At 48.0% G+C, this 14,899-nt stretch overlaps 1 protein-coding gene across 12 annotated transcripts, besides 4 other annotated features; it reads right to left on the reverse strand.

The window, feature by feature from the left end:
• VSX1 (visual system homeobox 1) lies at positions 1,146-12,407 on the reverse strand. 12 transcript variants are annotated; one of them, NR_165181.2, is made up of 7 exons: positions 11,534-11,597; positions 9,702-9,780; positions 9,095-9,218; positions 7,951-8,383; positions 3,870-6,816; positions 2,802-2,909; positions 1,146-2,284 (listed from the first exon to the last, which is right to left on the reverse strand). NR_165181.2 is itself a non-coding variant. In NM_001256272.2 (5 exons), the coding sequence occupies exons 1-5, from the start codon at positions 12,360-12,362 to the stop codon at positions 2,187-2,189; spliced, it is 906 nt and encodes a 301-aa protein (NP_001243201.1). In that variant the 5' UTR covers positions 12,363-12,407; the 3' UTR covers positions 1,146-2,186. The 12 variants fall into 12 exon arrangements, 7 of the variants coding, with proteins under 7 accessions (NP_001243201.1, XP_016883326.1, NP_001243200.1 ...); NR_045948.2 differs by lacking the exons at positions 3,870-6,816; positions 11,534-11,597 and adding an exon at positions 11,939-12,407 and having other exon boundaries at positions 7,951-8,131; NR_045951.2 differs by lacking the exons at positions 3,870-6,816; positions 7,951-8,383; positions 11,534-11,597 and adding an exon at positions 11,939-12,407.
• Positions 1,853-2,373: an enhancer, noted in NCBI's record as "OCT4-NANOG hESC enhancer chr20:25052223-25052743 (GRCh37/hg19 assembly coordinates)". NCBI's record gives its function as "activates a minimal SCP1, AML or CMV promoter by ChIP-STARR-seq in naive H9 embryonic stem cells {active_cell/tissue: H9 hESC(naive)}" and the evidence as "EXISTENCE:reporter gene assay evidence [ECO:0000049][PMID:30033119]".
• Positions 12,396-12,925: an enhancer, noted in NCBI's record as "H3K27ac-H3K4me1 hESC enhancer chr20:25062766-25063295 (GRCh37/hg19 assembly coordinates)". NCBI's record gives its function as "activates a minimal SCP1, AML or CMV promoter by ChIP-STARR-seq in naive H9 embryonic stem cells {active_cell/tissue: H9 hESC(naive)}" and the evidence as "EXISTENCE:reporter gene assay evidence [ECO:0000049][PMID:30033119]".
• Positions 13,689-14,293: an enhancer, noted in NCBI's record as "H3K4me1 hESC enhancer chr20:25064059-25064663 (GRCh37/hg19 assembly coordinates)". NCBI's record gives its function as "activates a minimal SCP1, AML or CMV promoter by ChIP-STARR-seq in naive H9 embryonic stem cells {active_cell/tissue: H9 hESC(naive)}" and the evidence as "EXISTENCE:reporter gene assay evidence [ECO:0000049][PMID:30033119]".
• Positions 14,294-14,899: an enhancer, noted in NCBI's record as "H3K4me1 hESC enhancer chr20:25064664-25065269 (GRCh37/hg19 assembly coordinates)". NCBI's record gives its function as "activates a minimal SCP1, AML or CMV promoter by ChIP-STARR-seq in naive H9 embryonic stem cells {active_cell/tissue: H9 hESC(naive)}" and the evidence as "EXISTENCE:reporter gene assay evidence [ECO:0000049][PMID:30033119]".

A 14,899-nucleotide genomic window follows, 5' to 3' on the forward strand; every position in this document is an offset into this window, starting at 1 on the left:
GAGGTCTCCATCACAGAGGCAGAAGAGGAGAATTTATCACAATAACTCCCCCGACTGGTCACGGGCTGCCTTGTGTGTGCTATGGACTTCTAGGAAGCCCTTCAGGGTCCACAGTTGGAAGTACCAGGCAGGGGTACCTAAGGCATCCACATCTCAAAGTCAGAGAAGCCCCAGGGCAGTGTTAAAAGAAAAATCTTAGGCAAACTAAATGTAACAGAGTTTAATTGAGTAAAGCATGATTTGTGAATTGGGCAGCCCTGAACCAGAATAGGTTCAGAGACTCACCAGTGCTGCCGCATGGCCAAAGAAGACTCATGAACAGAAAAAGCAAAGTGACACACAGAAAACAGAAGTGAGGTACGGAAACGGTTGGACTGGTTACAGCTTGGTGTTGTCTTATTTGAACACGGTTTGAACAGTTGGCCCCCTGTGATTGGCCAAAACTCAGTGATTGGTATGAGAGTAGGTTATAGCCTATTTACACATCCAGTTAGGTTATAGTTTACTATGTACAAAGAAACCTGTTGGCCAGACTTAAATATGTAAGGAGGCAGCTTTAGACTAAACTGAATTTAAGTGGGAAGCAAGACCAGTTGCTGTGGCAATGGCTGGAGTAAGAGATATTTGAGGAGATGTGATCTGTGGCAGAGAAGTGTCCCACGCAGGAATTTCTTGTAAGACTCATTGCATTACTTGGGAAAAGGAATGCCCCCCCCCAACCCCCTGCACACAGACACTCCTGTGCAATATTGGGCTTCACCTTGGTCATTGTTATGGAATCCCTGGCCCTCCAAGGGCTCCCTACATGGGACAGTAAAGGAGATCCCAGAATCTCCCCCACTTCCCAGTTTAGTTACTGCACAAAATTGACTGTGTTAAAGAGGGAAATAGAAAAGAGGCAGCCTGGTTGGTCGAAGGACAAAAAATTTCAGTTCTGCAGGAGGAATGAGTTTAAGTCCTGTATAACACTGTGACTATAGTTAATAACAATGTACTATATACTCAAAATCACTAAGGGGGTAGATTTTCAGTGTTCACACCACAAAAAAAACTGTATGTGAGGTAATGCTATGTTAATTAGCTGGATTTAGCCATTCCACAATCTATACACATTCCAAAACATTATGTCTTACACCATAAATATATGCAATTTTTGTCAATTAAAATTTAATTAATTCTTATAAAGAAAGAATGAAAAGGAGGAAGTACTTCTTAGTAGGTGATCTTCAACAGAAGAAAGTGAAAAAAAGTCTTAAAATGTCAGTATGAGACAACAGATTCTGCAATGACAGGAAGGATGGGTAATGGACAATTATGTGAACAAACACATTTCAAAGCCCGGGTTGAGATCAGGGGTCAAAGAGGAGACGACCACAGCTGGTGACTTAGAGGGTCAGTAAGAGGAATCAGGGCAGAAAAGCACAGAAACTCCTCCATTTAAAATTTCAGGCTGCAAACTCACATGGGTGCCAAGCTGAGCACCCAGGCAGGCACAGGTCAGCCATGCTAGCCGAAGGGGATGCCCATGTGTCATTCATGATGGAAGGAGAGGAGAAGGGCAGCCAGCCTTGGGGGAACTCTTAAGTTGGAGTAGCTGGGGCAGTGGCTCACGCTGTAATCCTAGCAACATAGGAGACTGAGGTGGGAGGATCACTTCAGCCCAGGAGTTAGAGGTTGCGGTGAGCTATGATTGTGCCACTGCACTCCAGCCTGGAGACAGAGTGAGACCCTGCCCTAACACTCAGGGTCTTTTTTTTTTTTCTTCAAGGCATTTTGGGTTGAGGAAGTCCAGAAAAGTCAGAACAATGCCCTGGTATGGACAGTTCCCTTTCAACAGATAATCTTGAGTAGAAGCAGTTCCGAGTGATAGACAAAGCCTCTTAATAAGGAGGGGAGTTTCTGTAAGAGCAGCTTTCTGCACCTGTCACTAGGACCTAGCTGTCATGACTGCAGGTTTATTCTCATCAGCTGGTAATAGATACGGAAAAGAACACACTGAACTTGGGAGACCAATGCTTTCAACTCCTAGGTTGTTGAATTCCTTGCACATGGGGTGCCCTGCAGGGGGCAAGTCTGGTAGCAGTGATCATCAAGGATGACACAGGAAAATCGGCATGCTTCCTGAGGCAGAACAATGCTACCTGAGCACTTCTCCAGAGGGGCAGACTTTAGCAGCATTACAGGGTTCAGCTGAAGGTCATCAGGCACCACCACGGGGTCTGGGGAGCCTGTGTGTCTCCTGCAAAGTCCAGTGAACGGGAGCCTCCAGGAGCAGAAGTTTGCACTGGAAAACAGGGAGAGTATTTCACAACAACTCTTGCATATATGTAGATAGAAAGAGAGAGGGAAAGGTGGGACTGAGAGAGAGCGAGAGACTGTGGCTTAGTGAACTTAGCTGAAACAGATGCACACAATTGTGACCTTAAAATGGTTGTTTTAAGCCACAGTTTGGGGGTAATTGAAGGATCTTCTAAACCAAAACATCTGAAAGCTTTATAGTTTTGCCTTTCACACATCCCACACATACACCATGTCTTTAATCCACCTGGAAGTGTTTTCCTGTAAGGTGTGAGGTACAGGTCCAATTGTATGTTTTCCCATATGGACAGTTGTCCCAGTAACTTACCAAAAAGCCAGCCCTCCCCCAGTGTCAGCCGCACCCACTTTCTGTCCACACGTGTGTGTGCTGCCTGCTCCTATTCCTGCTGCATGGGTCCATTTGTCCCCCCAGGCCGATACTGTCCTGCTGTGATGATCACAGTCTTATCAAAGCACTGAGCTGGGACAGACTCAGCCATCACCTCGTTCTTTAAGGGTGTTTTCCCGATCCTTGGCTCTGAGTTTCTCATCCATTTGACAATCGGCTTAGCAGGTTCACTTCATTTCTCTGCAGCCCAATGTCTCACCCTCTGAGAATGCAAAGAGATAATGAATTTGAACATGATTCATTGACCACAGAAAACAATTGTGTTTTCATATATTGTTTTTATACGATTAAACCTAAGGAAAAAGCATTATTTGTTATATCTTGTTCTTCTATCATTTCTGAAAATATCACCTTAATTCATGAATGTCCTCAAGTCCTGAGATGCTGCCTCCTGCTGCTACAGGGCCAAGAGTGTTACACTGGTTCCTATTAAGAATGTTTCCAAATTCGCCTTACTAAAACTGTAATTTTTTGAAATCTCCTTTTGGATTTTAACAGCCACATTTCAGCTGGCAAACAATTTTGAACACTGGAAACAATTCAGTCCTGCTGTCAGTCTGTAGCCAGATTCCAATCTGACGTGCTGGGGGATTTGAGTGAGGGTTGAGAGGACCACGTGTAAAATCCTGCTGGCCTCTCCATCCTCAGATTGGCACTGTGAGAACCACGCAGGAGTCACTGGCAAGATGTGAACTCTTTATCCTGAAAAATTTTCATATGATATTTTTAAAAGCGTTTTTGTCTCATGTGAATTTAACCCTATATTGAGAAAGCGGTGTTAATATTTTAATAATATTAATATTAAAAATTATTTTATTTTTACATACTAATTTTACAAAACTTAGAACATATTTAAAAATTCAAAGTATCCATTTGTCCATGATCTGAAAAATGTTATGAATATTTTTTAAAATTTTCGTCTATTTTTTCGTCTTTATGCACGTTTCTTGTTTTCTCTCTTAATATCACACACGCACTACTTTACCTTCTGCATAGGGATGACCTATTGGTTGGCTGGTTACCAGTCATTCCCCTTTCTTTCTTCTTTGTTGAAAGGGGCCAAATTACATTAGTTAATGGGCAAAAAGAGCGGGGGCTGGCCACGACCTAGCCCCAGAGGTGAATTTTGATTGGACTAAACCAAACAAGGAATTCTGCCCACCTGGCTGGTGATGATTGGCTTAGGCCTGAGCGTGACATGCAGTGCTGACCAATGAGGAGTGAGAGACGGTCTGCTAGCAGGTGGGGGTTTACTCCTTGATGAAATGTGGCCATAGGTAATCTCCACTGTGATGTCTGAACTTCAGGAACCTCCAGTGACCTTGCAGGGACAAGCTTGAGTCCTGGATTCCTGATGATGTTCGTGAGCGGCTCAAAGTCCTCGTCTCCAGACTCTAGTCACACAGGACAGCGGTGGTCCTCTGTGGGGCGTGGCCAGTTGAGCTCCTGGTCCTTGCACAGCCAGGGAGAGAGCAGCCCAATGACACACCGAGCCCTGCTCTTAGGGCGACGTTTTGCTGTGTTCGTAGAGTTCTTCTTGAGTTGTTGTTGCAGACCATTCCAACAAGCTATTATTCCATGATTTATTTTGTTTGTCCCATATTGTCAAAAAATGATAATGATAAACTTTCTCGTTTGATTTTTGATATTAATAGAAATGCCAATAATTACAGTAATAATAGTTAATATTTAATTTGCTCCTTCCTCAGAAACTGAGCCAAGTATATTACTCATGTCATCTCATTTAATCTTCAGAAAAATGAGTGTTCTGCTGTCATCCCCATTTTACAGTTGAAAAACCAAGAGATCAGAAAGGTAGTGAAACTCATCCAAGGTCACATGGCTAGAGTTGGCAAAGCCGCCTCAAAGACTCTGCTCTTATATATGTACATATAAACACGTGTATGTATGTATACATTATAAAATATTAACCTGCCATATTGAAGAGAGTTCCTTATGTTAAGAAAGCATCCTTCCATTTTTACTTCAGTGCTTCTAGCCCCTTTCTCTCGTGCCACTTCCTATTTTCTCCTTTTCCTTTGTAATATTACATAGAGATTTGTCCACTACTTGTATATTTTGTATGCAGAACCAGTTGTTAAGGTTATTCATTTCATTTTCATTCTGCTTTACATATTTATTTCTATCTTTTTTCTTTTTTAGGGATTTTTTTTACTCAGCAAAATTTTGTCAGCATCATTCCACATTAATAAATAAGCCTTACTGTTACAATTTTAGTGGCTGCCCGTATTGTCTAAGTGTGATGTATGTAAGTTGCACAGCTTACTGGTTCCCTCTCCCAAACTCAATCCTGGATAAGCTAAGGAAGAGGGATGGAAGCAACAACCGAGGAGTAAACATGAGGAAATGTGTTGAGAACCAACCCTCTGGGAGGCAGAACCTGTGTGGCTACAGAGCCTGGAGCCAGGGCTGCTGTCTCTAAACAGGAAAGACAGAAGAACTTCTAGAGTTCATGCCAACTGCTCATTATGGGTGCAGTCTCAGGCCTCAGTTATGATATCTGTTAGCCAGAATTAATACAAGAACATAGGGCTTATCATTTTCTGTTGCTACAGAAAGGAACTGGTGATGTTTAATTTTCCCAAGAGTATGGAACTAACATAGGATGAGAAAAATAGGCCAAAGGGAGAGAGCTTCTGTTTTCTCACCTGCAGAGATGGGAGCACCAAGCCTAGCCTGACAGATCACTGGGCCAGTTCCCAGAGAAAGCCCTCACAATGAGCAGTTCCACACTTTCCTTGTACTGCCCTTCCTTCTTCAGGAAGCACCATATTTTCCCATCAACTAGAAGGTATCTTTCTGGCCTCTGAACTCCAAAGAGTGTATCAGACACAGCTGCTGCCCCAGAGGAGTTGACAAGGCAACACATGGTAAGAGCTGCAGCCTGAAGAATAAAACATGTCACATGTCCCCAGATTGAGAAGGGGTGAAGGGAGAGCCTGGCTGGGATCAGAGATAGTGGAGATGTACAAGTGTGTAATAGAGGAGTGCCTTGAAAAGTAAACACACCACAAAATGTTTATTTTTAAAGAATAAATAAATGGCAAAGGAAACGCAGGAAAGGAAAGATTTACAAAATCCAAGTCACTAAAGTGCTTTCAATCACAAATTTTGAAAGACCAAAAGCCTGGTCTGACCTAAAAACACTGTTTCCAGCTATCCAACAATTGTTTAAATATGATCCCATGCTATTTTTAAAGGAAATGCAGAAACGACTAGAGTATGGGTTTCTTTGAATTCCAATATGCATAGCCTATCAAGTGACACTCAAGAAAACACAAAATTACTCCCTAACAAGAAAATTGAAATATCCAAGGCCAAGTTCAAGGTAAAGACAATATAATTCATTCATGTGTCTGTATGGAGTCTTCACTATGATGATATCAGATTCTTCTGGATATTAAACAATTTTATATTTCCTAATTGAGAATGAGGACATCAGACCTAACCTATTCATCTATACAGTACATTGAACCACACATCTCAAATGATGCCCAGCAGTGAAATCATTTTTGAACTTCGGATCCTCCCTGCTCAAGCTACAAAAGAGAATCAAAAGTTTTGCACCAAGTTAACTGGTTAAAGTGCCATTAAGGAACCGTTTCCATTCTAGAATGAAATAGAATTTTCCCTAGGTCACTCATCTGTCCTCTTAAAGCAAGTGGCATTGCATTTTATCTTGACATTGTCAGAAGAAAATCAAACTGAGAGTATATGTCTTGGACAATTTTTGTCTTTTGGAAAATGCCAGTGAGGAATATGCACATTTTCAGCCTTTGACAGTGGGACCTGTGGGTCTCATGTGGCTCCCACCTTCCCTGGCTGGGGCCCCTCCAGTGCCGTGGAGTTGGAGCCTCCTTGAGCACCAGCCCCAGGGTGCACTTTCTTGGTCTCCTGCCGGGCAGAGCTGGAGAGGTCAATAGCCACATCTTCCAAGCCATTCTCAGGGCTCACTTTATCTGAGCCTCTCTGTGATCCTGACTCACTCTGGCTAGAACCTTCTTTGAAGTGGTCAGAGCCCCAGAGTCCTGCCAACTTATCTTCACTTCCTGGCTTCCTTATCATCCCCATGGATTTTTTATGCATCCCTTGTAAAAAAAAAAATAAAAAGGAAAAAATAAAAATAAAAATTTAAATTCAGCAATGAAGTAAATTTCCTTCTTATTGTTCTCTAAATCCCACTAGAATTGTCCTTGTCAGTGCCTATCTCTGGGGCCTACAGGAGAGGCAGGTAGGTAACTCCCACCTTAGGGGTTTAAAGCAGGTGTCTGACCCCGGGTCACATCCAGCAAAGGTGTTTAGGATGACACAGTGATTGGCATTGGGCCCACTTTCCCCTAGGCTGCGGTCTCGCAGATGCCAGTAAGTGCCCTCCCCCACCTGTTTGTGCAATTTCAGATGAGCCAGTTTGGGTCACTGCCTACAATGCTCCCTCTAGTGTTTCAGTCCTTGAGAGCAAAGTCAGGACATATCTATGATTGGAACCTCCAGTGCCCAGGATAGGGCTGCTTGGTAGCTGTTCAAAAACTGTTCGCTGAGCAAAAAACTTCCTCCATCTAAACCTAAAATGCCACCATGATCCTCCTAACTAATTACCCCGTGCCCGGAGGTACTCATCTGTGACTCATTCCCACAATCTGTGATCCCTGCCTGTTGGTTTCTGGCGACAGCAAACAGGGCAACAAGGGTGGAGCATCCTGAGAGTGCTGGGTCTCAGCAGCGGAGACTCTTTGAGCACCAAAAATCTAAGGGACAGAAAAGCCACTCGGCAGGTTGTTCATGGCAGAACCAAGCCCGGGGCCAGCCCTCCTGACTCAGATGGAGGGGCTCACTGTCCCCAGGGGTCGCTGCTCAGCACTGCCCTGTTTCCTATTACCAAGTGCCCTAAATTGTATGGTTTCTAAAAATTCTAACAGCATTCAACACTTGGATGCTGTTAATGCAATGATGTCATTTCACCCTTAAATCCCAAATACATATTTAGCATGCATAGCCCGGTGAGACTTCCACACAGCCTAGACAGTCTCTGTGAAAAATGAGGCAACCATCCAGTTGCTGCAAGCTTTGTTATTAATTAAAAATAATAAGAACGGTTCTGGACCTGAATCTCAGTAAACTGACGTTGCTTTGCTTTGGAAATGGCTGCCTCGGTGGGGACACCCTGGGATTCCCCCACCTCCTACAACACCTCGAGCCGTGCGATCCCGGGGGCCCTTCCTTACCCAGGAGCCAGGGCGCGCAGGAGCCCAGCAGGCCGCCCTCGGCGGAGTTGAGCACGGAGTCTGGCAGCGGGATGCAGTGGCGCACCATGGCCCCGTACAGCCCGTACTCGGCCATCACGCTGCTGCCGCCCCAGCGCTTCTCCCGCTTGCGCCATTTGGCCCTGCGGTTTTGAAACCAGACCTGGTTGGAGGCAGGAGAAGCAGAAGGCACACAGAAGAGACAGTGAAGAGGGGCGCCTGGAGGAGCGGAGGCGGCGTCCCAGGGCTCGGATCTTCTCTCCCGAGCATGATCCCATGCTATTTCTGAAGGAAATAGCTCCCGAGGGCCAACCAGCCGCCCTCAGGGAGAGCGCCCAGGAGCCCCCAGCAGCGCCCACGTGCGGTCCGGACTCACGGGCATTCAACGCAGTAGGGACACTTGTGACCACGTCCACTGAAGTTTCCATAGAGTCAGGAATGAAAAAAACTAAAGAATCAAACTCCCTTTTCCCACATTGTGTGAAGAGGTCAACTACAGTGTTTCCTGCTTTTTCTCATTAATTGGAATGAGCTCACTGGGGCACTGGCTCCTTCCGAGCTTAGGCTATTGGGTTGCTGGTGATATTTCTCATTAAAAACATTATGTTAATAAAGGACTATTATGAAATACGGTTTAGCTGTTAAAAAAAGAGTTAGTGACATATCTTCTGATAAAACCAAGAGGAAAATTCTATGTATGCATGTGAGTGTGTGTATATATGCATGTAGATATGTATATGCACATACATATTCAGGGGCAGATAATATACTCCACAAAGTAGAGAAAGGTCTCCTCAGGCATTTGTGTTGATTTCTTTCAGGGTTTGAGATGGAGAGGTAGTCTCTTTTTTTTTTTTTTCATTGACATATCTTTATAGTTTCTAGTTGCAGCACACATTATCATGTGATTTTAAAGAATGATTTGATACTAAATAATAATAAAATGAAAAAAGGCATGAGGGTCATAGGGGCAAGCTCTTGTGGTGCCTTCAGCTAAGGGACCCTCAGTTTCTATGCAAAGGGAGCGTGTTGGCTATAGAGAAGGGACTGCTGATTGGCTCACTGAATGTGGGAATGACACGTTCTCTGTGGTATCTTTGGAGCGGAGAAAAGGGACCCCAGACACCTGTATCCGGTCTTCGGGGAGCTCAGTTTTCACAGCCAGCATTTCTCGGGCATACACATCAGGGTAGTGGGCCTCGCTGAATGCCTTCTCCAACTCTTCCAGCTGGTGAGCAGTGAAAACTGTCCTGCAAGGACCCCAAAACACACAGGTGGGCACATGTCCCCTGGGGACAGCAGCCTCCCTGGCCTTAAGGACCACCGTGCCTGCTTCCTCTGCTGTCCAGACCCTAGAAGCCACTTCATGATAATGGAACACCCCACCTCTGAATGATTAGCTGATGTCCAGAAATTTGATTCAAACGAAAACAGTTCTTTAGCTCTTTCTTAATGAATTCCATCAGCTCATTCTGACAAAATCCATTTGACAGATCCACAAAATTGTCTTTAAAATGCTCCCAAAAAAATGCTAGCAAGATTGTAGCATTTTCCCAGCCTCCTAGGAACTGCAGAATTATCTTCCCAAATGGCTTCTGTGCCCTTCCCATTGCCAACCAGGAAACCACTGGGCCTGCTATCATGCCGGGCCATAAATTCTCAGATGCAGGTGCCATAAACCTTGGGCTGTGTCCCGAGGAAAGGCAGGCAGAGGGGACTGCCTGGCCCTATACCTGTGCCGCCGCTTCTTCCTCTTGCCCAAGGTGGGGGATGCCTTTAGGTCATTCCTGTCTTCAGACTGGCTGTCCTCATCTGATGGCACAGAAAGAAGAAGAGGACTTTAAGGGTGATCATATCCCCTCTATTTCCTGGATTTTAATGTGAGGATTGAAGTTATGAACCTCTTGGGTACTTAAGTAGTTTACAGTATGAGCCAGCATTTTTAGTGCCTACTAGATCCCAGGCTCTGTGCTTAACACTGTCCATACATTATCTCAAGTATTCTTAATATAATAATAAAACACCAAAATGGCTGCTGCTATTATTATCATCCTATTTTTACAGATGAGGAAACTGAGGCACCGAATGGTTAAGTAATTTGCCCAAAATCACACAGGTAGTAAATGGTGAAGTTGAGAATTCAAATCCCAGATTATCTGAAGCCAAAACTACTCAGCCACTGATTGCACTTTCTATCCCCACACTGCTTCCAAACACATCCACCCCTATGCCCCCAGCCTCATCATCTTAACCTCTACACCAACATTTCCCAAAGGAAGTCTGGGGCTTGTGACATCAGAACCCTCGTCAGAACTGCAACCCTTCCCTGATGCACCAAATCAGAATCTCTGGAGGTGGGATCTAGGAGGCTCATTCTTGACAAGTGTGCTCAGATGATGTGTAGTTGCCCTTGAAAATTTGAGAACCACTCCACTGTGCTTTACCTTTTTATATCCAATACATCAAAAAGTCTAGATGGAAAAGAAGGTTAGAAGGCCAAACTATTGTGAGATTCATTGCTAGAAGGCATAATTGCCTCAAAATATCTTTAAAATGAATAAAGGCAAAAATAACTAAATAATACTAGTTTTACTCATCCATCAATTAGTTCACCAGAAACCTGGCTTGGATTAAAACATTCTGTATTGGGCTGTCCAACCTGATGAGACATGAGACACATAAGGTTATTAAGCACATGAAATGTGGCCAGTAAGATCAAGACATGCTGTAAACATAAATCACTTAATGGAGTTAGAAGACTTAGTGCTCCTAAAAAGTAAAATATTTTTGTATTGATTATGTGTAAAATGATAATATTTGCTATCATTGTTGGGTTAAAATATAGTATTTAGATTCATTTCACTTTTAATGTGACTGTGAGAAATTTCCGTCAAACATGAAATCACATTTCATTTTTCTTGGACAGCTCTGCTCCAGACTTTCAGAAATGCTGGCAGAGTTGGATTTAGCTGCCTTTGGTTTTGTAAGAAAGAACCCATCCCATGAAAACAGTTTTGCATTTTTAGTGACACTAATAGGGAGTTTCATTTTATCTTACGTAGAGCTCATGAAATAAAGTCCTTTTAGAGTGGAGCAAAAACCTGCCTGCCTATTGATCTGACATGCTTCCTTTTAGTATCAGAAGACCCAGTCTACTCTTTTTGCCTTGGCTGCCTGGATGCTCAGCTCTAGATTCTACCACATACCATCCTTTCTTGTGTAATTCTTTCTTTTCTCTCCCACACCCAAAACCACTCGTTTCCTTAGCCCTTGTCCTTTATAGAATTTCATTGCTTCCTTCTCTTTCCCCGCGACCCGTCTGGATTTCTTTGGGGAAATGGGTAGGCCAGGAACACATCTCTAGGCGTAACTACAATGAATCCCCAAGGTTGCTTCTTTCTCCTGCACAGGGGACTGGGAGGACGCTGCGCCGGCAGAGGAGCGCGGTACCCGGGACTCCCTTTTCAGCACCCCAAGGGGCGGACAGTTCCAGGGCTCGAGGCCCCGTACTCTTCCAGGACCCGTCAATCATTCGATCATTTCCGCCCGCGTTTCCACCTGGTACCTTGTTCGGTGCTGCTGGTGACCACCACAGGCCCGGGCCTTCCCGACCCACGCAGCTGCCAGAGGCGGAGACTGGCGCCTGGCGCTGGGGGGAAAAATGGCCCTCTGGAGATGGTTGTTGAAGACCCCAGGGTCTCATCAAAAGGTTCCACCCGGAACCAGGTGGTGGCGGTCTCACATCGCTGAGGGAACAGGACCCCGGATGAGAGGCAGGGATTTAGGATGCAGCAAGGGGCAGGCGGCGCAGCTCCGCGAATGCCCCTCCCGCGACGGGGCCTCGCTCTGGGCTCCCCGCCTAGATCTGGGCCGCTGGGGCCAGGGGTGCGGTGGGGCGATGGTCTGTGACCCCTGCGCGGCTCAGAGCCTAGGGGACAGGGGCAGGAGCGGAAAGCGCGGGCCTGATTACCGGACGTGGAGACGCTGTCGCTGCGCTTCTGGCGGCCGAGCGCAGGCGGCGGACGGCTGGGAGCCAGCGGGGCAGCGGGCTCGGGGCCCCTGGGCGGCAGGAACGGCACGTCCGCTAGGAGCAGGCAGGGTGCTCGAGCGGCCGCCGGCGGCTGCGTGCCGAAGCCACAGAGGAGGCCGAGTCCCAGCGGTAGGGCCCCACGCGCCAGGCTGGAGCCGTCAAGCCCCGGGCCCGGGCACGGCGCGACTGCCGGACCCTCGCAGCCAGATCCCTGTCCTGGGCCAGCGGGCGCCGGCAGCTCGGCCTCCAAGCCCAGCAGGTCCGTGATGGCGAAGCCCCGGGGGCGCGAGCCCCTAGGGGAACCGCCAGGCACCAGCGCCCTGCTGCTAGTGCGCCCGTCGGAAAGCGAGTCCCGGCCGGTCATGGTTCCTTAGCAAGCAAGGCGCGAGCCTCTCTGGATCCCGTTTGCGGAGGGCCCAGCTTAGAGGAAGCTTTATAGGATTGGGCTGCCGGTCGGGCGCGGGAGGCCTGAAGGGCTCCAATCAGCTGGGCGCGGGCGCGTCGCCGTTCCGGACCCCGCGAGATGGGGACGCCACCAGTTCCCCTCCCCTCGGTTACCGCCCACCCAGCTGCAGTCCCCTCAGTCACCTCCTTCTCCTCCTCTCTTCTGTCCAGCCCACCCCACCCCACCCCACCCCCATTCTAGGAGGGAGGGGAGGAAAGAAGGTAAGGGACAGTGACTCCGCTGTCTGCCTGTCCCTCGAAAAGTCGCAAGTTCTACATCCTGGCGTGGCCTTCTCCTTCCTTCCAGACTCTCTGGGTGGAGGCCCCACTCCCAGCTGCCCTGAAGCTTCTTTGATGCGACCCAACTGCCTATTAAGACCTAGGACCCCATTCCCAACCACACCCCGATGGCTACCCCATATATGTCCCCAGCCAGCCCTCCACCTCCGCCGCCGGTGCCACGAAGGCCTTCCTGTAAGAAGGCCTTCTCTGAAAATCCCCAAGGGGAAAGGAATGAAAACCGTGTATTTAATCCATGGTCATCCTACCTCCATCCCTTTAATCCATGGTCATTCTACCTCCATCCAAATCCACCCCCAGGTCCATCCCCAACACTCCACGGGCTGAACTGTAGGGGGTGGCAGACTCACAAGAGCTGGGGAAAGGGAGAGAAGCAGAGAGAGGAGTGGACTGCCCGGGGCTGAGACGGGCAGGGTACCAGGTTTAACCAACAAAACACTGTCGGCTCAGTGAAATGTGATTTCAGATAAAAAAGGAGGGCTTTTTTTTTTTGTAGGAGTATGTATCAGTATTTTATCCAGCAACCCTAAATTGGGGAGGAGTGGAGGGAGGTAAATTGAAATAAAATAGAGTCTGTCTACTGGAAAGCACACCTTTTCATCGGGGCTTACAATTTATTGTCCAATTTCACGATTATTCAAAGAAAGCCTGATTCTTTGAATAATCAGTGAAACTCTGATATTCGCTAAAGTTGGCCCCAAGCACGTGGGTAAGTAACTACTGGTTCGCGCTTTGAACCCAACCAGCCCTCATCGCTCGGAGCCCTGCGTCCCCCGCTTCCCAATCCCAGAACCCCGGAAGCAGATCTCCTCAGTCCCACTCCCTGAGGGTCCTACAGTCCGAGGTCCCGCAGCGAGGGAGGAGCAAACGCCTGAGCTCCGCGGGAACCCGGCGCGGCTGCCTGCGCGCACGCAGGGACCGGAGCCCGAGCCTGGGCCCTGCAAAGTGGGTCTCCCACTCGCTGCGCGTTCGAGTGGGGCCTCCGCTAAACATGCAGATTAAACAAGGGGCTTCCGATAAGGATAATTACAGGAGGCTGCGCATTGACTTTCCGTTACTAAAGGAAGACCCAAATCTCCCCCTTGCAAGCTGTTCCCGGGATTACCAAAACAATCACTTTCTTTTGAGATCATTGTCTTTTGAACCACTCCAGCTCGGGGCAGAACGCTTTAGACGCTGGCGTTGTTTTCCGCTCCGCGAGGAATTTTCCCCCAGATTTATCTCTGGGTTTAGGGAAGGCGTTGGGCATTCGGGACTGCGTAGTCGTTTGTAAATCCGAATTTGGGGTAGCAGTTAAGTGAGATACCTACGCTTCCACACAGTTTGTAGCCCGAGACCAGTCAGGCAGGCAGGGTAGTCGATTCTAAGGTGGCCCGACCGGGGTCGCCCGCGAATGGAAAGCCTAAGGGGCGAGGGCGGACGCGGGCGCCGTGCCTGCAGCCCCGGGTGCCGACCAAGTGGCCTCACCTGGGACAGGTCTTGGGGTCTCCCTCCCCTAGGTCTCCCTGGAAGGTAGGCGATCACGGGAGTGACAGACCCCGAGTAGATAGCCAGTGATCCAAAGACACCAAAAGGCCAGGCGGTAGGAGCCCAGCCTCAGACACTCTCTATAGTGACCGCGGCGCCTCGGGAAGGATCGTCTTAAACTCATTTTGCAGGTGAGAGCAACTGGGACTTATTAACCCAGTCACATCGGACACAGAGACGTGGCGAGGGCGACACAGAGCAGGAGACTCAATCAAGGAGCCCGTATTGGAGCTCTAAGGGGACTCAGAGATGCAGAAGGAACGAACTTCTAAGGGGTCTTGCAATTCCTGGACTGGGGCGTTCCTAATGCATCCCGGGACCCCAATGCCAGGGAGGGGCCTGCAGGACCCCAGCGGTGGGCGAGTTGTGTCCTGGGTCACCTTGTGTTTCGCAGCGTGGCGGTGGCAGGAGCCCAGCGCGGGAGGACATTTTCATAGCCTCCTACAGTGAGAAACGCCCCCCACCCGACGCTGCGCTCATCTGTGTCCCCGCTGTTGCCGGGGCTCTGGTATCCACTTGCGCGCCCTATGTGGTGGGGATCCACCCAGAGCCCAGCGTCAAGTTATACGGGCGCTTCACTCAGCGTCAGCCAAGACCAGGGAAGCGCTTCTTGCCGTTTAGGAGACGTCT

The sequence above is a fragment of the Homo sapiens genome, chromosome 20 (assembly GCF_000001405.40).
Source record: "Homo sapiens chromosome 20, GRCh38.p14 Primary Assembly".
NCBI lineage: Eukaryota > Metazoa > Chordata > Mammalia > Primates > Hominidae > Homo > Homo sapiens.

What these genes read in the sequence shown, in the direction of transcription:
- VSX1 (NM_014588.6), bottom strand. Translation starts at nt 12,362, where the DNA reads ATGACCGGCCGGGACTCGCTTTCCGACGGGCGCACTAGCAGCAGGGCG. An exon ending in CGACAGCGTCTCCACGTCCG is followed by an intron (nt 9,781 to 11,938) that starts GTAATCAGGCCC and finishes CTGTGCCATCAG; the next exon opens with ATGAGGACAGCCAGTCTGAA. An exon ending in TCCCCGAAGACCGGATACAG is followed by an intron (nt 8,132 to 9,094) that starts GTGTCTGGGGTC and finishes GCCTCCAACCAG; the next exon opens with GTCTGGTTTCAAAACCGCAG.